The sequence below is a fragment of the Homo sapiens genome, chromosome 22 (assembly GCF_000001405.40).
Source record: "Homo sapiens chromosome 22, GRCh38.p14 Primary Assembly".
NCBI classification, from domain to species: Eukaryota; Metazoa; Chordata; class Mammalia; order Primates; family Hominidae; genus Homo; species Homo sapiens.
The window spans coordinates 10939695-10962263 of NC_000022.11; the positions used below are offsets into that span (position 1 = coordinate 10939695).

The 22569-nt window shown below is 36.4% G+C and overlaps 1 pseudogene across 1 annotated transcript; it reads right to left on the minus strand.

Moving 5' to 3' along the window:
• Nucleotides 1-902: 902 nt before the first annotated feature.
• On the minus strand, nt 903-21835 carry FRG1FP (FSHD region gene 1 family member F, pseudogene; annotated as a pseudogene). Its single transcript, NR_132320.1, has 9 exons — nt 21589-21835; nt 20638-20737; nt 19373-19442; nt 10355-10480; nt 9518-9575; nt 7610-7724; nt 5273-5359; nt 1995-2086; nt 903-1013 (listed from the first exon to the last, which is right to left on the minus strand). The product of NR_132320.1 is annotated as an FSHD region gene 1 family member F, pseudogene (transcript).
• Nucleotides 21836-22569: the final 734 nt, after the last annotated feature.

Below are 22569 nucleotides of genomic sequence, written 5' to 3' on the forward strand. Positions count from 1 at the left end.
GGTGCTCTAGATTTCCATTTAACAGGGTGAGAATGCTGTATTATTACAAGTGAAAAAAGTTACAGGACATAGAGCTTATTCCGTTTTAGAGTCCATATCCTGATTATATTTTATATCCTCTTCTTGATTTCTTACAACTAGATACATATTCATTTGCTCAGCTGGAAAAAATTCTTAACATTATTTACTGACTTTAGGTATGAACTCTACCAGCTAGTTAACAGGAAATATGTAATTAAACATTGCCTTTATCAAGTAATGTAAAAAAAGGGTAAGAGTAACTTTGCAACATAGGACTTGAATGAGCAGCTGGTGATTATCAAAATCTGGCACTTAATTGATTTATACTTGTACACTCACAGCTAAACGACTCTACCTGTTTTTCTATGTTGTAAATCTAGGACATCACTTATCTACATAGGAAGAGTAATAAATATTAATAATGTGCTATGATAAACATCCTGCACTCTTCCAAATCTTGCAATAAAACTGCTTCAATTTCACTTATTTAGCTTTTATACCTAGCTTTTTAGTTGATATATGCTTATTTTAAGGAACCTGAACTACTCTAACAGAATCCACATAATTTTTGTATTAGTCAAACTGCTTCTTTCTAACTCTGATTCTAATAGTTATAAAAAGATAATGATAAATTTATGAAGTAGATACAGTCAAACCTGAATTTCTTAAAGTATATACTTAGAATCGGTTATAATTTTTAGATATTCTTTCTTGACAGTCTTTTCCCAAACTCATGATGTGCTCTCTAGGTAATACTGCCACACTCATAAATTATAAATAAAGACAAAAATGTGAAAACTACAGTAATTTAAGACAATATAGGTTTTCTACATGCCATTTCTATTGGCTACTGAAGATAGTGAAAATAAGTAAATAGCTACCTGTCCAGAAGCGTTTCATGCAAAAATCCATCTTTCTGAGCCTTTTTAAGAATTTTACTGTATTCTTTACTTATTTTAAGTTTGTGGTCTTGGAAGCTCTGAAATTTCTTTCTGCAAAGAAAATGTCTTCATTGAAAAATACCTCAAACTCTGATTATACATATTTACTACTAAATATATAAATACTGTTAATTTCTTTTTCACTTATTAAAAAAGTCTAATTGTAGGCCAGGTGCAGTGGCTCACGCCTGCAATCCCAGCACTTTGGGAGGCCAAGGCAGGCAGATCACTCGAGGTCAGGAGTTCGAGAACAGCCTGGCCAACATGGTGAAACCCCGTCTCTACTAAAAATACAAAAATTGGCCGAGGGCAGTGGCTTGCGCCTGTAGTCCCAGCTACTCGGGAGGCTGAGGCAGGAGAATCACATGAACTTGGGAGGTGGAGGTTGCGATGAGCCGAGATCATGGCACTGCACTCCATTCTGCGGGACAGAGCGAGACTCCGTCTTGGGGGAGAAAAAAAAAGTCTAATTGTATTTTTTTTAATAAGGTGGAGTTTTTGAACAACAAGATGAACTTTGTGACCTCTCAAGAGGAGGGCCACTCATTGACTGGGTAGCACAAGGCCCCACTTCTATTAGGGCATGCTGGCTGGAGTCCCCTGTGTCCTGGCCAGAGAACAGCCTTTGCCTGGCATCACGCCCATTCTATGAATGGAGAGGTTGACTAACCCGACTGAGTAGCTTTGGGAGCTGGTAGGATGATTAGGAAAACTGAACCCTCAAGAAAAGAAAAGAATTTAGCTCAGTGCTCTGTCCTATAGGCTACATCGTGTTGCCTCTTCTTGTCCATCAGTTTTTATTTTTTCAGACGGGATCTTGCTCTATCTCCCAGGCTGGAATGCAGTGGTGATCAGAGCTCACTGCAGCCTTGAACTCCTGGGCTCAAACAATCCTCCTGTCTCAGCCTCCCAAGTAGCTGGGCCTACAGGCATGCACCACCATCCCCAGCTAATTAGGTAATTTATTTTGAAAGCACTTTGAGAAGCACTTCACTGTCAAATCTGTAGGTCTAAAAGGAAAAGAATACACACACGTAATTGATTTCACATTGTTTTATATTTCCTTTGTCTTCTTCTGGAATGTCATCTTTTTCCTTGGTTTCTCTTTCAGCACAGGATCTAATCTAGATATTGGAAAAGAGAATCCAATGGGTTATATGTTTATCTTCCACCTTCCCCACTTTACGTATCACATAAGAATATTCGAGATGATTTCTTATGCAGAAGAAAAAACTGAGCAACTATATTCAGAAAAAGACAGGTTCTGGCTATGCGTTTTTAATTCATATATATAATCTATATGAGTAAGTGCTATCACATGCTTCCTCCACAGCCCTTGTGTCAGAAACACTACAGACAAAATTATTTCAGAAACATTTTACACATCAGATCCTGCTAGGCAATAAAGAAATCATTCATTTAATTTTGTCCTCCAAGTGAATACACTAGGATCAAATTATCCCTAGTAGACAAGTGTTCATTTGATCAGACTGAAAGCTTAATAGCTATTTTACATTGCACAGACTATTATCAAAGTATTAAAACTTTTAACATTTCACAACTTGTTTTTAATTAATTGGAACCCACCTCTTTTACTGGCTTCTTATATTCTCCTAAGTTTGGACAGATATTTACTATCACATGTCATAAGTTAATTGATCTGCATTCAACAATTAGGATCATCCACAGAACAGGCAATTGGCAATGGTAAGGACTCATATCTCCTAAATGATCTCTGTGGCCAGAGTCCAGTTCCAGGGCTGCTTAGAAAGTGATGACAAATAACGTGTTTGTGCCAATGACATCTTTGTGACAGTTTTGATTAGAGGGGTCCCAGACCTGAAAACATTCCCTGCTAGGGCCTGTAACACAATGCTACTTTTAGTAAGAGGGATCTATGTTCTGGTAGATAAGGCAAGGTCATAAAGGTGAAGGGCTGACAGAGATTAGGAGAGCCTGCAATTGAATGGTATGAAAAGAGTCCTAAATAATCACTGTTCAGAGCTTCCAAGTACTTAACTAAACAAAGAGACCCAGAAAACTTTGTATTTCATCTGAAAATTGCTTTAAATAGTGAAAAACGCAATCTTTGTGTAAGTATCTTTGTATCTTTGTATAAGTGCAAAGCACTGCACATATACTTGCAATTGTTGCCTTCAATAACACTTTTGTGATGATATCCAGATGAAAAATAATTTACACATGATACAATAAAATATAAATAAATAAAATTAAATGTAATCACAAACCCATCTGTATTTCCTCAATGACCTGTTTCCTGAGAAGCAATGTGCTATGAAATACTGAGAGTGGCCTCTGGAGTCAGCTGAGCCTGGGTACACATCCTGTCTTACCACACCTTGAAATCACTGTGATTTCCATGAACTGACTGACAAAAACCACGAGGATGTAAGGAGGGTCAGAGGCTGTCTTCCTGTCTGTAAGGCTGAGCTCACATCCACCTCACAGGAGCATTATGGAAATTCAAGACTACATCGCATGTGCCAGATGCATGCAACGAAAAAATATAACATTTCACTTCTCTAACTGTAAGAAAAACTTACATTTTAGATTGAAATTGTTTGAGCTTTAGATTTGAAATTATCTGAAATCAAGACTATTCTAAAAAGAAAATCAAACATATGACCGGAAATCTAACATGAAGCACGTACAGAGAATTGATAGATGCTTTTAAATTACACTGGTAGTAGAGAAAAATGTAACATTAATTTTTATGCTCTAATTATAAGAACGAAGGGCATTTTAGAAAAGGCATTTAACCCCCTCTCTTAGAGCCTTCCACTCTGGCCCCCACAATGCCTTACAGAGCAAACCTGGGTCAGACTGGATGCAACCTGTGATTCCCAACAGAGACAAACAAAGCAAGGTTCAGGCTGCTCAGTACTGCGATAGAATGCCAAGACACAGAAAAGCCATGTGTCAAGAAGGGGGGAGTTATTCTTTAGACACATCCTGGTATATGTTTATCATTAAAGATCAGTGGCTTTTGTAAGTCTAAAAAATTAAGCCTTAAATGTTTTCATCACATTCCAGTTAACTACCTGATTAATCTAGGTTATATTAACAGTATTATTTAGAATTTCACCTTGAAATGAAGATGTCTGTATAACTTTTACAATGATGTAAAACAAAGAGTAGGATTAGGGAGGCCACAGGCTACTGGTGCAATAGCCAACGCATCTGACTACGGATGAGGGAATTTAGCCTGGAATAAGGAACTTTTATTTCCAGCTTAGTGATGCACACAAATTTTAAAAATAAAATAAAATCATGTTTTATGTGATTCATGTTTCTCCTAATGCAAAGAAGACGGGTACTATTAATAAAAATATTTTTAAAATGTAAGGGCTAAGGCCCCAGAAGTTCTGCTATGATTTTTTATGTTTCATAGAGTGATTATCATCACAGAAGCTCAAGCATTACATAAATACAAATGCGTATACCCCGACCTGGTAATTCTGCTTCTGGAAATTTATCTTCAGTTCCACCCGCACATCTACAAATTGATGCATATTCAATATTATGTACTGCAGCACTGTTTATAAGAGCAAAAGACTGGAAACAGCCTAAATTTCCATCTACAAAAGACTAAATAAATTAAGGTACATCCCTAAAATGGAATATTATGTGGCTGTTAAAAAAGAGAGAGAGAGAAAGAGAGGAAAAGCAAGAAAAAGAGAAAACTTCCTACATTCAAACTAATAGTAGAAAACTCTCCAAGATACAATTTTAAGGAAAAAAAATTCAAAGTTGAGAAGACTATAGAGGAGGCTGCCTTTAGTGTAAAACAGTTGAAAATTATAGATATATTCATATGTTTATAAAGAAATTTTAGGAGGCTATAAAAAAACAAAGGGAAAGAGGAAAAGGAGGTGGGAAACAGGTGAGTAAGATGCATGGCAGGCATATGTCTTCATCTTCATATGCTTTTATTTAAAAATGTTGGACCATGTGTACACGTTATCTATTTTAAAAATTAGATTTTAAAGTACAAGAAAACAAGAAAATGAAAGCTTAAAAAGAGCATGTGGAACTACCAGAAAAAGATACTAATCCATGGAGATAATGGCAAGGTAGCTCCTAGATGCACTGATTTCTCTACCACATTGTATAAACAAGCCATCAACTATGGGATTTATAATTAAAAGTGACTCTATTTGAAACACCACATTATTAAAAGCCATTAACTAAATCTTTAAAGTGACTGTAAATGATGACTTAACATTTTAAAGAGATACAGTCACATCGCATGTGTGAATGCAGTCATCTGTATAAAATGTCATCATTACCTTGATCATTTCTTCTTCTCCTGCTGTTTTACTTTTTGCACTGCATCTAATAAAGCGGCTATTTGAGGCCGAGAAAGCCATTTTCCCCTAAGTGAAACAAAATAACAAAATAGCCATGAGGATTCTTCTTGTAGAAGAAACATTAAGTGTTTACACTGAATTAATTTTTCCTCCCTGATTTAAAAATCACAGAAAAGAACTTAGAGAAAAACCTGAAAAATATAATACAAGAACATATAGAAAAGGAAACCAAAATCACCTTTCATTTTACTATTCAAAGATTACCACAATAAACATTTGTAGCATATCTTCCTAGTAGGACTATTCTAATTAGATGAGGTAGGATTGCTTCCTTTCTAAAAGACCTACTGAAGATAAAACTGATTTAGTTCTGTTTGAAAAATTAACTTTAAAGATGAGAACATAATTATGGATGCATACTTTATTCAAATATTAGCATTTTAAGTAAAATTTATTTTCTTCACAATTAGAAAACATGAAAAGGTATATACAATGCCTTTGGTGTTTTTAATTTAAGAGTCAATGTCTGAGGGACTTTTGTGTGTGAAAATAAATATTCATATACATTTTTAGTTGTTTAATGTTTGATGTATTACACTGCTTTCTATTAAACAAAACTTTAAAAACTGATTTTCTTGTGTATCTAAATCTGGGTTATAAATTTGGTTAGCTTAACTCCCGTAACAAATATAACGTTTATTTATAACTTGTATTTGGTTGATTCTTTTGGAAAACTTGGAATACCATAACATTTAGACAAAATATTTATAAATACAATGATTACAAAATATGTTAACCTTATATCACATCCAGTTAAAAACGTGCTGATAACATCGATTTAATTTCTTAGTCAAGTCACAAGGGCTGGGTGTTCTCTCATCTGGATGGCTCCTGGTGAGCCCTGGAACATGGTGGTGGGGTCCAAGGTGATTTAAACCTGTGTCACAGATTATTCAGCTGAGTCCTTTTTGCAAGAGAGTTTTAAGACCCTCTTTCATTTAAATTTAAATTTTTGAAACTTAGTGTCCTTCCTAAAAATAAAATGAAATGAACTTTCCTAAAGTGTTGTATTATTAGTACTATCTAAGTCATCATCCTGGCCTTATGAAATATTGGCATTTTCTACTGGTGTAACTTTTATTAGAAGCATCTCATCGTAACTAGTAGGATGATCTCAAAGGGGTTGCAACACATTAGCAGGTAATGAAATCAATGTAGTGTTTCCTGAATGGTATTGTGTGGGTGGGGGGGAAAAGGAAAACACACAGACACACAGAGGAAGGGTAAAAGAGAATAAGAAATATCAAAGTGCATAACACATGGATAAGTAAGTATTGTTAAGTACAACTCTTGCTTCAGTTATACATATGTGTGTGCTGGGCTGCAATGTAAAAATGCATTTCTCAATGGATTGGGTAAAAATACTTTTCAAGTCACTGACTTAAGATTTTATCCTAGGGGATGAGGAAATTAGTCTAAGTGATTACCTCTTTCTGGTGGGATGTTTGTTTAATCTATCATCTTAGAAAACACTGCTGAGTTCCTATTTTCAGTTCATTATTGTATACTACCAAAGCTGCTACTCAAAGGCTGAGCTTATCTTCTATTTGCTTGTTCTGCGTGATGCCCACTGGTCCTTACTGTTTTTGATATAGTTATCTACTTTTTAAAGACAGTTTAGCACTCACATATTTTTGTTCAATCTTTACTTCTCACACAGAAAAAGGAAATTATGTATTCTGTATCAACAAAGATTTAACAAAACATCCATATACTACAACTACTTACTAAAATTAAGAATTAGTATACTATCTTTTTTTCTCATATTAAATCTTTTCATACACTATTTTAAGCTTATGAACTGAAAGTCTTTTAGAGATAATTTACTTCAATGAACTATTATTATTTATATTTTATATGCAAATTGTCACGACTTGGTCTTAGCTAGCTCTACTGTTCGCTTACAGTCTGTAATGTTTCTGAAAACATCCATGATTTCTGCTACAAAGAAGACACTTAGGAACAATTCTGTTTTCCTACTCTGTGACCTAAAATTGACTGGTTCTTCAATGGAAATGAGATCCATATCTAGGCACTAAGGGTATACAGAAATAATTGTGGGCAAAAGTACTAATGCTATTTTTGTTGCACTATATTTTGAGATCTCTTTAAGGCTCTATGTTCTTACTGATTTATTCCTATTTAATGTATTATACTATTGCATCCTACTTTTTCTTTTTAAATATATTATGATTGACTGTTACAGACTTTCTGTTAAATTGACAGGGAGTTTTTATAAACAATAACAGCACTTACATTTTTAAAGACTGGTTCCCATTGTTCTCTTGGTCCAATTGCATCTGAATGCCCAACAACAAGTTCATCTGAATTTATACCAAGATATTTTCCATAGCCAGATTTCAGGGTGATTCTGTACATTAATAAGATAGATAAAAGTTAAAAACTGAGAGGAAATTAATTATAGGGCATCAAAACAGGACATGTGTATGTGTGTGGGTGTGTACATATCTAAAATTTCAGACTGGACATATTCCAAGTGTTCAAAAGATGCATGTGGCTGAGTGGTGACTCACTCCTGTAATCTCTGTGCTTTGGGAAGCCAATGGGAGAATTGCTTGAGGCAAGAAGTTCAAGATCAGCCTAGACAACATAGTGAGACCCCATCTCTACAAAAAATTTAAAAAGTTAGCTGGGCATGGTGGTGTGCACATGTAATACCAGCTACTTGGGAGGCTGATGCAGGAGGAGTGCTTGAGCCCAGAAATTTGAGGTTATAGTGAGCTATGATCACACCACTGCCCTCCAGCCTGGGTGACACAGTGAGACTATGTGCCTTCAAAAAAAAAAAAAAAGCTACATGTGACTGGTTGTTGCCATATTGGACACTGCAGATTTAAATTTAGTTTTATATTTTGCTTTTTTAATATAAACATTGTACCTTATATATTATGTAACAAATATTTTCAAAATTCATCATTCTTCAATTATACCTCTTTAGTTATAAACTTCAATAATAAATTACTAAAACTATGTCATCAAACTGTTTTCCAGAAAATGCTGCTTCCATTTACATTCTTACCTCAAATTAACAGAGTATGTTTTGTATCATGGATTTTTTTTTTTAAACATTATGACTCTAAAAAAATACTCAAAAACCTGATATGAAAAAAAAGTATCCTATTAATTTGCATTTTAGTAGTTAACTAGAATAACAATTGTTTTTCTTTTCCTTTCCTTTTTACTTTTTAGATTATCTGGTAATGTCCCTTGTCCATTTTTCTATTCAGATCTGATTGTTTGCAATTTTTCTACTGGGGTCTTCAGTGCTATGAATTCTATACAAGATACATATGAACAGTAAGAACTCACTGCCTATTAAGATTGTTGCAAATATTTTCCTCATTTGTCAGTTGATTTTCTTTATAATCCTTTTCTGTTTATAATTGTAAAGCAGTTTAAAATTATTGAATTTTTTCTTCCTCTGCTTTTATTCTTTGTCTTTCACCCTACTTATCAGACTTTCAAAGAAAGAATAGGAATAATCATCTTAACGTGATTTTTTAAAATTATGATTTCTTTTACCTTACCAAGAATCTCCTCGGATGCCAGAATTGACTTTTACTCCTTTATACGTTAATGATTGTATAACAGAAATCATTATCATGTTGATGTAACCAATTACTAAAATATGTAAATTCACTTTCAGTAACTTTTACCCAAAGAATCATTCTATATTTCTGCACAAGGTGAGAATAAAAAAGGTTACTTTATAAAATGACTGTAACAATAGTGAGTAAAAATATTCTTTTGGTCATTATGATACTGTAACGTTCTCTGCTGGTTTCAACAATATTCCTTTTTTTAGTCTTCCTGTTTGTCTTTAGACTTCCAAACAGTGAGTTTAAATATCATACCAACAGTGAACCAGGTTTTGTACCATTTGATATATTTTTTAATCTATCTTATTTGGTGTGTGAAATTATTAATCTTCATTTTTTAACTCACATATCTTTTTTCCAGCCTAGCATTATATATTGATAGGAAATCCACTAAAAGTAGATCACAAAATCTACTTCTCAAAAAAGCTATTTCATTTTTTATATCAAAATTACCATGGGCTTAAGACAGATACTAAAATTTTTAATGAATACAATTAAATTTTTAAAAACACTGGTTACTAATTATATTACAACATAAGCTCACCTGGAATCAGATAATTTGACAGCCGTAAACTGCTCTGGAGGACTAGGGCCCTCATCAACTATTGGAGAAAAAACATTTGAAAATAAATTTGACATTTGCTATAAACATAAAGACATTATTTTGCTTTAAAAATGTGGCTATTTTCTTCTGCAATTAAATGTAAGAATATTCAGATATACTGATGTCACTGTAATACTGTATCTTTGGAATCAAGATCTATTTTACCTTCTTTTAACTACAGTGCTAATTTTATACACTGAGTAAGACAGGGTGATATAATGTTTATTTAATAACTTTCGAGATAGCTTCTCTTTATGTTTTAAAATACAGTCATAAATAAGCACTTATTTAAAAAAGCTAAATGCTTTCATTTATTCAATGGATGGCCTTGCTGACCAAATGATACTGCTTTTTATCTTCTAATTACTTCGTATCTCACTAGTGCTTCCTCTAAAGGGCTAAAGAAAATGAGGAAACTTCAAATTGTTAAATGCACCCAGGTTAGTTTTGGTAATAGGTCTGAATAAAAAAGTAATTCAAACATGTTTGACTCAAATAGGTTTTCTTTTTTCCTTCCACTTACTATTTTAATTATTCATATTGTTTTGATTTCCAAAGATACTCTTCTGGAACTACACGGAATGTTTTCAAATGCTTATATTAGAAAGAGGGACTTGCCAATGGCTGGTAAATATTAAGGAATTAAAAAAAATTGGAAGAGTCAAATGCAACGGTTCCATTCCTTTGGAAAATGTTTGAGACTAGTTAGAGTTTGGCCTAAGTGAATGAATGTCCTAAAATCTACACTTGTGGCAGGATCTTCCCTTCCAGACAAACCTTCTTTGTGTGGAGCTCCCAGGGTAAAAAGACCATTGTTGAGTGCATGTATATAGGTTCCCTCATCCATTTCAATGGCTATGGTTCCTGAAATTTCACCAAAGTTTGTTACTGTCCACCAGATTCCTAAAAAATAAAATTGATATTTCTACTTTATATTTTAGTTTTGACACAGAGTTCTTTTTTATTATAACTTAGTTTTAAAAACTTTTTATTTTGCAGTCATAATAAATAATATGAAGATCTCACATATCCTTTACTCTCTTTGTCTCAATGATGACATCTTGCATAAGTATCATACATTGTTAGAATCAGGAAACTGACACTGATATAATCCATGAAGCTTATTCAAATTTCACCAGATTTACATGTACTTGTTTGCATGTATGTGCACATATTCGTGTGACTACCAGCACAGTCAGGATTAGGTTTTTAAAATACAAAATAGCAACATACAGCCAGGCATGGGGGTGCATGCCTGTAAACCCAGCTACTCGGGGAGCTGGGAAAGAGGATCACTTGAGCCCAGGAGTTCAAGGTTATAGTGAGCTATGATCACGCCACTGCACTCTAGCCTGAGTGACAGAGCAAGGTCCTGTCTCAAAAAAAAGACCAAAACAAAACAAAAGGCAACATGTGAAGGTACAAAGTGATATATGGAGAACGGTCTCTCTCATGATAGACCCCAGCCATCTATTCATGCCTGCTTTCCAGAGGCAATGCCTATCATAATGTTTCTTAAAAATGCCTCTACAGGAAGACTTTCTAGCATAGTAATCTTTTTTTTTTTTTTTGAGACGGAGTCTCGCTCTGTCACCCAGGCTGGAGTGCAGTGACATGATCTTGGCTCACTGCGACCTCCGCCTCCTGGGTTCAAACAATTCTCCACCTCAGCTTCCCGAGTAGCTGGGGTTACAAGAGCCTGCCACCATGCCCGAATAATTTTTTTTGTATTTTTAGTAGAGACGGGGTTTCACCACATTGGCCAGGCTGGTCTTGAACTCCTGACCTCGTGATCCACCCGCCTCTGCCTCCCAAAGTGCTAGGATTACAGGTGTGAGCCACTGCACCTGGCCAGTAATCTTAACTACGATTTTAGATTGAAAGTAAAATGAGCAGAATCTATGTCTATGTATACTAATTTCCAATTTGCCAACAGAAATGTTAGACTCTAGCCACAATTATTTTAGCAGTTGTCATAAAAGCTTACATCTTAATGTTAAAAAATATCCTCAAACCTTCTCCTAAATTGTACTTTAACTAGAGTAGAAATGAGTCAATCATTAACTGGATATGACATATTAAGGAATTCTTGTTAATTTTACAAGGTCTGATAATGACATAGTATAACGTATAAAAGTAAAGAACAAAACAGGTGATGAGAGAAAGACATACCACATTAAGAAATGTACATTTATGTGCTTATGGGTAAAATGATGTAATATCTGTGATTTTACTTAAAATTTTCTAGGAAAAATTGTGTGCGGGAGTGTGTATGAAATGAAACGAGATTGGCAAAATATTGATAATTAATGCTGGGGCCTGGGCACATGGGGGACTCATTATATTCTTCTATGTAGGGATTACTTTCGTATTTCCATAATAAAAAGGTTTTAAAGATTCAGTTAATTCCACTGCACAAAATTTTCTATTCAACTAAACATTTCATGCTTTTCATAATCAATTTTAAAATACATAAAATTTTAGCTAAAATGAAGTTGGATCCTTATCTAACACCAAATACAAAAAGTAACTTAACATAGACCAAAGACCTAAATGTAAGAGCTAAAGTTAGAAAACTTTTAGAAGAAAATGGGAAAAGCTTCACGACAATGAATTTGACAATGATTTCTTATATAGAACATCAAAGGCACAGGCAACAAAAGAAAACACAGACAAACTGGACTTCATCAGAAATAAAAACTTTTGTGCATCAAGAACCACTGTCAACAGAGTAAAAGGTAACCCAGAGAATGGAGACAATATTTGTAAACTACATACATTATAAGGAATTAATATCCAGACTATATAGAGAACTCCAAAAAGACAAATACCACAATTCAAAACTGGGCAAAGGATATACACGGACATTCCTCCAAAGATGATATACAAATGGTCAATAAGCACTTGAAAAGATGCTCAACATCACTAGTCACTAGGGAAATATAAATCAAAACCATAATGCAATGCCACTTCACACCCATTAGAATGCTATTATCAAAACAAACAAAAAACAGAAACCAAGAAAACCAGAAAAACAAATGTTGGGCAGGATGTGGAGAAACTGAAACCCTCTGCAATGCTGGTGGGAAGGTAAAATGGTGCATGTATTTAAATGCCACTGAAGTGTACACGTAAAAATAGAAAAATTGGCAAATTATATATTCTGTATATTTTACCTCCACACACACACAAAAACAATGGAGAAAAAGAAAATTAATCAAAATTAAAATTTCAGCTAAAGACGATTAGAAAGCAATAAAAGTAATGACAATTTAGGTGATTGAGTTATAGCTACAATTGTTTTCAGTAAAGGAAATAATGCTTTATTCAGAATCATTATGAACAGTGTTATGATTAGCAAGTCTTTCTTATAAATGTAATAGTTAATAATTTTAAATTAGTTTTATTTTGTATGTTCTATGCCATGTTCACCAAGTACACTTAATATTAAATAAAATCATTTAAATATAATATCTCATTAATGTTTTGCAAATAAAGAAGAAATTTCTGGCAGACAAGCTCCTCAAAATTTTCACCCTCTGTCCAAGTAGGAAAATGATACAATAACATTACTTATAATATTGTCAACTGAAAAAGAAATTACTTTGAGCAGATGCCAGTATTTCTTCTCAATGAGATTTCAAAGAAGAAAGCTAAACACAGTATCATCAAGAATTAAATGTGAGCATTCTGCTTACTTTATGCAAGTGGCCTACATTCAACGTTTGGAGGTATGCTTATATGTTTAACGACTAAAGTAACATAACATAATACTTAACGGTGCCACTCGGGGGTTTTAGCTGTGAAAAAGCAGTGGATCCTAAGAACAGTGGGCACTGAAGTTGCCTGTCTCTACGTCAGGTTACAGCTCAAGCCGTGTATATATGCTGCAGATGCCCAAGCTGAATTTAAGAGAATCCGCTCTAAAACATTACTTGCTATTTAGACACATGCTTAAAGTTGTTTCCTTTTAAACCTTAGGCAGATGGTGAAATATTCCCGCTGTGTTGTCTCACAATGCATAACAAAGCTTTTCACATATTTTCACATAGTTGAGAATGTTTCCATATGTCTGGCATGCCTGTAATCCAGCACTTTGAGAGGTGGAAGCAGAAGAATCACTTAAACCCAGGAGTTCAAAATCAGCCTAGGCAACAAAAGGAGACCCCCAGCTCTACAAAAAAATTAAGAAATTAGCTGGGTATGGTGGTACAAGCCTGTGGTCCCAGCTACTCAGGAGTCCGAGGTGAGAGGATTGCTTGAGCCTACAAGGTCGAGGGTGCACTGAGCCATGATCATGTCACTGCACTCCAGCCTGAGCAACAAAACAAGAGCCTGTCTCAAAAAAAAAAAAAATGGCCCGATGCACCAGTGTCATGGCTGATAAGATACTCCCAGGGCACCCTCATTCTAGTATCAAGGCTGTGAGACAGCTCACCTTACCTTCTGACTAACGCAGTGCTTCTGTGCTAAGGGCCCCCTTAAATCTCTACCTTCATTATGTGCTTGGCACAAAGGAATGATATATCTTAGATTTGGAAATGGAATTTTATTCCCAAATCTTACTGTAGTCTGAGTACCCTTCACAGACCTTCTATTAACCCATAGCTTACTTGGCTTTAGTTCCTGGGTAAATCAAATCTGTGTTTTGCATACTACGATGTTGTAAGTCAGTTGCTTCTGAATCTAGCAGAGCTCAGTGAAACTATTTGCTTACAGACATGCTCATTTTTATTAATGTCACACATGGTACTCTCCATGTGAAAGACAGAATTTCTTTCATCCTATTTACCAATCCCTTCAGATCCTTGTGAGGAACCAACAGAACAGCTTTAAAAAATTAAAAGGTTTTTTTCTTTCTCTTCACAAATAGGAACATGCTTATTTTTACGGCGAGTTTAGAAAATCCACAATGCAAAAGACGGTGGAAGGACAAAGAGAAAAAGACGCAGAAGGACTTCCTCTTCCAGCCAAGATGGACTTGCCCTCCCATCATGACCAATGAGAAAACTGAAACTGGATAGAATATTTGAGAGAACTGTTTTTGGGGATTGAAACACAGGCAGAACAGGACTGTGATATTTGAGAACAGGAAAACACAGGAGGCAAATCTAACACACACTTCTGTTTTCTGCCCAATGGCAGTTTCTTGACCATGCAGAGAGAGGTAGAGACCTCCAAAAATGAGGCAATGTCACTGTCACTAAGCTGAGAGTCTTGCAGTGCTAACATGTTTGGAGTTTATAGAATAAGGTACTGGAGAAGAGGGAACAACATACAGGTGAGGCCTCAAAAGAGTATGCAAAAGTTCTCTGCAGGTCTGGGGCCAAGGGCTGGGGGGAGTGCATACAGTAGGCAGGCTCCACAAGGCCCATGCAGAGTGGCTGGCACTTCTGAGGGCTGACTGGAGATGCCAGAGATCACACAAATTTGGGACATAGCAGAGTGGAGAGAACTCACCAAATATACCTAGAACATGTGGCTGAGGCCCATGAGGATGAAACTTTCCTAGAGTAAGAGTCACTGTCTAAGTCTACAGGCAAAAACCTAATAAATAAGCACAAACTAACAAAGGCCCAGGCTTGACAGGAGCAAAAGGGTGGTCAAATAATTTAACTAGGCATCAAGACATTTAACAGAAATAAAGGTTAAAATGTTATGAAAATGAAAGACTGAATTTATAAGGAAGACTTAACAATCCTAAATGTGTACACATGACAGCTTCAAAATACTTTAAGCAAAAACTGCTCAAGTAGACAGATCTAGAATTACAGCTGGAGATTTTAACATAACTCTCAATACATTGTAGGATGAGTGAAAAATCAGTAAGGACACAGAAGATGTGCATAGTCACAAGCTCCACCAGTTGATATAACTGACATCTAAAAAACACTGAACTACCGGGCGCCACAGCTCATGCCCGTAATCCCAGCACTTTGGGAGGCCGAGGCGGGCGAATCCCCTGAGGTCAGGAGTTTGAGACCAGCTTGGCCAACGTGGTGAAATCCTGCCTCTATTAAAAATATAAAAAAAATTAGCCAGGCATGGTGGCAGGTGCCTGTAATTCCAGCTCCTCCGGAGGCTGAGCCAGGAGAATCACTTGAACCTGGGAGGCGGAGGCTGCAGTGAGCCAAGATCGCACCACTGCACTCCAGCCTGCTGGGCAACAGAGCGAGACTTCATCTCAAAAAAAAAAAAAAAAAAAAAAAACCCTGAACCAACATCTGCAGAATACACATCCTTTTCTAGTGTACATGGAAATTCACTAAGAAAGTATGTTCTCCAACTATACTATAAATGAATTAGAAATCAGCAACAATATCATACCTATAATATCTCTATGTAGTAGAAATTAAAAACAGTACACTTTTAAATAACTCAAGTGTCCATGAAAAGAAAAATCACAAGGAAAACTAGACGATATTTTGAATGGAATTAAAATGAAAACAAAATGTGTTGACTATAACTAAAACTAACATGGAATGAGGAGATCTAACTCCTTTTTTAAGAAGCAATAAAACAAGAGCAAAGTAAACTGAAAATAAGTTAAAGGGAGGAAAAAAAAAAGAATGAAAATAAATGAAATAAAAAATGAAAAAAAGAGAAAATAAGTAATGTTGAAACAAGCTTGTCCAACCTGAGGGCTGCATGTGGCCCAAGCCAGCTTTGAATGCAGCCCAACACAAATTCATAAACTTTCTTGACATATTATGAGACTTTTTTGCTTTTTTTTTTTTTTTTTTTGGCTCTTCAGCTTATTGTTAGTGTATTCTATGTGTGGCCCAAGACAATTCTCCTTCCATTGTGGCCCAAGGAAGCTAAAAGATTGAATACCCCTGTACTAAAAGATCATTAATGATCTAAAATAAATGATCTTATAAAGAATTGATAAACCTCCAGCTAGACTGACTGATCCAGGAAAAAATGGAAAAAACAAAAATTACCAATATGAAGAGACTGCAATACAGATTAGATTCTACAGACATTAAAAGGATATTAAAGGAATATTCTGAACAATTTTATGCCAATAAATCCAACAACTTGGATGAAATGAAATTTTCCTAAAAGACACAAATTACCAAAATTGACAACAGAAAAATCTGAAAATATCTCTTAAAAAATCTTGATTTTCCCACAAAAAACTAAAACCAAACCAAACAAAACCCTCTAAGTACAGATGACTTCACTGGTAAATCCTATCAAACATGTAAAGAAGAAATCATACCGATCTTACACAGCTATTTCCAAAAACAGGGAAGGAGACAGCACTTCCCATCTAATTTTATGACACCCAATATCACCTTGACACCAAAATCAAATAAAGCCATTACAAGAAAAGGATACAAAAGTCCAATATCTCCCATCAACACCAATATAGAAATCTTATAAAGAAGAAAAACGAACACCTAGAAATCAAATCTAGCAATATCCCAAAAGACAACGCACCACAACCAAGTGGGGTTTATCTCAGGGATGTAAAGTTAGTTTAAAAGTTGAAAATGAAACCAATGTTATTCAATGGCAGAATGAAGAAAGTTGTATAATCATCTCAACAGATAAAGAAAGAGGCACTGGACAGCATTAAACATCGTTATGATAAAAACTCCCAAGAAACAAAGTTTAAAAGGAATGTCCTCATTTTGATAAAGTTTTTCTCTGCAGATCCTACAGACATCATACCATATGGTGGACTACTAAAAGTTTTCTGCCTAAGCTTGGAAACAATGCAATTATGCCCATTCTCGTGACTTCTGTTCAACACTATGGAAGTCCTGAACAGTATAATAAACCAATAAAAAGCAAGACAAGACATAAGGATTAGGAAGAAAGAAGTAAAACAATAGTCACAGGAAACATAATTGCAAATTTCTTAGTTTTCTATATAAACAAATCTTTAGAAGTAAGAAGTGAAACAGACTTATCAGACTACAAAGTCACTACACAAAAATCAATTGTATATCTACATACTGACAGCAAACAACTGGAAAATCAAATTCAAAAGTTCTACTGACAGTAGTGTAAAATTATAAAATACTTAAGAATAAAATTTTAAACAGGCATGCAAGACTGCTACATTGAAAATTATGAAATATTGAGGCCCAATATTAAGATGTTGATTCTCCCCTAAATTATCTGGACTCGATACTATTCTCTGAGAAAATCCAACAGGCTTCACTGTAGAAATTAATAAACTAATAGTAAGTACAAAGTTGGTGGACACACACTACCTTATCTCAAGACTTCATGAAATTATAGCAATCAAGAGAAATATACCAAAAGAAAAACAGACAATCGATAGAACAGAGTCCAGAAATAGACCAATACATAGAAAGTTAATTGATTTTTTATGAAGATATGAAACTGGATTAATGGAAAAAGGAAACACCAGTGGTGCTGGCACAAATGGCTATCAAGATGTTAAAAAAAAAAAAAGTAAATCTTGAAACCAAACTCACACCATGCCAAAAATTAATTTGAGATTAATGACAGATTTAATGTAAAAACTAAAACTATGATGTCTCTAAAAGACAATGTAGAATATTTTCCTGACTTTGGGGTAAGCAAAGATCTCTTAGATCAAAGAGATAAGGCAGTAACCATAAAAGAAAAAATAAACTAAGATTTATAAAAATTAAAAGCTTCTGACCATCCTGGCTAACATGGTGAAACCCTGTCACTACTAAAAACACAAAAAATTAGCTGGGCGTTGTGGCAGGTGCCTGTAGTCCCAGCCACTTGGGAGGCTGAGGCAGGAGAATGGCGTGAACCTGGGAGGTGGAGCTTGCAGTGAACCGAGATCGCGCCACTGCCCTCCAGCCTAGGTGACAGAGCGAGACTTCATCTCAAAAAAAAAAAAAAAAAAAAAAGGTGTCCATCCGAAAACCACCATTAAGAAACTCAGACTGGGAAAAACTCAGACTGGGAGAAAAGACTGATAACGCCATCAACTCTTGGCAAGGATGTAACTGGAGAACTAATTCATTCTTGGTGAGAGGGCAAAATATCACAACCACTTTAGAAAATTTTTGGCAGTTTCTTATATAGTTAAACATTCACCTATCCTTTGACACAGCAATTCCACATCTACATATCTACCCTAGATATTTACCCTAATTTTAGAATTGTTGATTTGCCATTTCAAAAACAATGATTCTTCCAGAATATTAGCTTTATACCATTCCATATTTTATATATTTTTTAAGCTACCATAATTTATGAAGATTCAAAATGCAACTTACCAAGTTTTAAAAGAGAAAAAAAAAGTATGGAAACAGCTAAACGGAAAACAGGCTGGTTAAGTGTGTTTGGGTCAATTTATTTCCAGTATCATTTACAGGCTACCCTGATATTGTATTTAAAATTTTCATTCGTTTCAGAGTTCACAAAATAATAATTTTTCCTGTGAAGATACTTCGTTTAAGAGACAACTGACTTCTACAACTAAAATGTATACATGTTCAAAGAAAATAACTTGTAAAATATATTTGGTTGAATAACATCTACATTAAGCCTTTAAAATTATGTATCAGAATCTCCGGCTATTAAGCAGTCTAATGGTGCCTACTAAGTCAGAGTTGTAATTCTTCTCTCCTGTGCTGTGTTCTGATAATGAAGTAAAGGCATCAGTAGCATCTACTGTGCTAAAGAATAAATGGAATTTACAACTGTAGGTAATATTTAAGCACTTTAAGACAAATATGAATACATCATAAATTTCTAACTAGGAAAATATTTTCAATGAGATCTCAAGAAATGTTAACTTTTTTCAGAATAAAGCACTGAAAACTGACTCACCAACATATCAAGCTGGGTTTCTTCATCTTCTTCTCTTTTTCTCTTCTTATCTTTTTTCTTTTTCTTCTTACTACAGGACATAATGTATATAGATGAGTTTAGGTATATTGATTTGTGTGATAAATAAATATCGTAAGATTGAAACTTGGAAGTCTTTTAAGCTGTTTCATTTATAAATTATTGATTTAGGAAGACTTACATTGCTATGCTCTCTTAAATACAGTGCTGAGAATTTGCTTCAGGCTTTGTACATATTATGTTAAAGTTCAAAGCAGATTGTAGAGCCACACTTCAAGATTTTAAATCCTGATTCTGTCACTTCTTAGCTCTGCAATTTTTGGAAAAGGTACTGAATCTCTCTGTGAGTCAGTTTCCCCACTTAAAAAGTTAGGCTAATAATTTAACTCTTAAGGCTATTGTGAGGATTAAGAGGTAATATGTATCTTCACACATTGCTGGTGGAAATGTAAAATGGTGCAGCATCTACAGGAAATGGTTTGACGTTCCTCAAAAAGTTAAAGAGTTACCACATGACCCAGCAATTTTACTCCTAAGTATGTATACCCAAGGGAAATGAAAACATACACCCACAAAAATACTTACATAAGACTATTCACACTAACATTAGTCACAATAGTCAAAAAGGGGAAACAACCTAAATGTTCATCAACTGATGAATGGATGAACAAAATGTTACATCCATACAATGGACTACTACGCAGCCATAAAAAGGAACAAGTGCTACAACAATGATGGACCTCAAGAATGTTATAAGTGAAAGAAGCCAGATACAAAAGGCCACATGTTGCATGATTTCTTAGGAAATATTCAGAATAGGCAATTTCACATAGATAGCAGACTAGTGGTTGCCAAGGACTAGGAGAGGGGGAGGATGGGATGTGACTGCTTTAATGGGTAGGAAGAGATTTCCTTCTGAGATGATGAAAACACTGAGAAACTAGACAGTGGTGAACCTCTTGAATATATACTAAAAACCACTGTACAAAAGGGTGAATTTTATAATTATGAATTACATCGTAATAACAAAATAAAAAACCAAGAGCGATTTGAAAAAAGTTAATGTGCAAAGTGCCTACAACTATTTCTTGGCACACTGAAAGTGCTATACAAGCATTAATTATGATTATTACGATAATCTTAAGACACTCTTGTCTGCATAATCATCATAAAGTTTTCAGAAGATAACTCACCACTTCTCACAGGAAATTCACAGAGTAAAAATCTCACATTCATTCAGGATATACCTGCCACTTATTCTGGCATCTTCATGAGGCCAGACTCCTCGAGAGGGTTCTCAAAGGCAGTGGCTTCAGCTCACTCCTTGATACTTTCTTTCCATCTCGCCTAAAAATATCAAAACCTCTGTTTATCACGGAGACCAGGAGGAAATGCTCAATATTTATATGTACAGTCAACCTCGGGCAAATCTGCCAGTTAAAAAAGAAGCGGGGATATGAGTGCACAGGTATTTTTCTCCTAAAGAGCTAATAAATTACCACTACGACCTCCTCCTCACATTTGGCTCAATTTATTTACTGCATATATGTTCTTTCATTTAATCCTCACAGTCTTCTAAAGGTATAAAAATGGTCTGAAAGTATAAATGTGTAAACGGAGGTTCAAAGATATTTGATCTCTTAATGAGTAAATGGAAGTTCAGACATATTAACCAATTTGCCACAAATTACAAAATTAGTAAATGACAGAGTGCAGGTTCCAGCCCATATCCCTATCAAAGCCCATATACACCTCAACCACTGTGTGATTCATCCTGGTTTCACTCTACATATTAGCTTACAAAAAATTAATCAATAACTTTTCCAGGAAGAGACAATGGAGAAAAGAATAATCCCTAATAAAGGAAGTTATCATCATGAACTACAAGATCAGACTAACGCAGACCCACCAGGCAGAGGCCTGGAGAGATGCCTCAGGGGACCCAAACTCGTGGATACGGGGCCACGGGTCACCCGCCCGTCTATCCTGTTTCCAGGGTCATCCGCGCGGGAGACTGCCCCTCTCTGCACAGGCGCCAGGAACCGCGGTCCGGCCTCCATCCAGCCCTGACAGGGGCCAGGGCGAAGCCTGGGATGCCACAAAGCCAGCTCTCTGCGCCACGACTTCCACCGGATTCGCGAGGGTGGAGTGCGTCCAAAAAGAACTGAGGAGGCTCCCGCCACAGCTGCAGGACCCACCTCTTCGCCTTGGTTCCCTTGAACACGAGCTTGGTAGACTTCACATGAGAGTACTCGACTCGCAGAAGTCGGCTCCGGGAGACTTCTGCGCGGAGAGGCTGAAGCCGGCTCAGGACGAGTATGTGACCCGGAGCAGCACCAGGGCGGGGAGGATCAGAAGTGGAGGCAAAGTAAACACTCCCTGACAGCGTACTTCTGTCCAGAACCTGCCTTTGTCTTGACCCAAACGCTGAATGGCTGAGATTTCCACTTCCGAGTTTCTGCTGGGGAGCTATGGCGGCCGCAGAGGGCTGAAAGGTGCCTCACGCAGCTGCTCCCTGGCTCCCTCTCGAGGAGCCCCCAAGGATTCACGCCTCCCTGACGGGAGTAAAGCCCGCCCGAGGCGCCGGTGCTGGCGGTGGCGGGGCTGCCGGTCGCGCTGTGAAACGGCCTCCCGCTAGAGCTGCGGGCTGGCGACGGTCCCCGCGGGGGCGGGAAGCGACTTAGGCTGCCCTCGTTGGCCTGCGGCGGCGCGGCTGGAAGCGCGGGCCACTCGTGCGCGGGTCACTCGGGGCTGTGCCTCGTGTGACTGTGTGTGTAGGAAACAAGCAGGAAATACCCTAAAATAGAATGAAGCACCATGTTGAGGGCCGCGGACGTCATGAGTCCTGTGGGAATGTGGGCTGAGGTGGAGAGTTATGGTGGCGCGTGTTACAGGCTCAGGGGTCAGGAAGAAGGCTAATCGTGGAGGCGGCATCTGTGGAGGGTCTTGAACGCTGGGCAGGCTTTTGCCCGATAGAGATGGAGGAAGCTAGTCCTGTCTGATGGAGGAAACAGGGCGGAGGTGTGGAGGGAGCCATGCAGCGCTGGTGTGAGGAGCCGTGAGCAGGCCAGGCCTGTAAAGCAGAGTGATGGGAACCAGGATAGAGAAGGCAAGTCGGGGTCCTGTTTTCGCTGAAGAATTTGAATGAAATCAGTAAACAGGTGAGAGGGATCCATCGC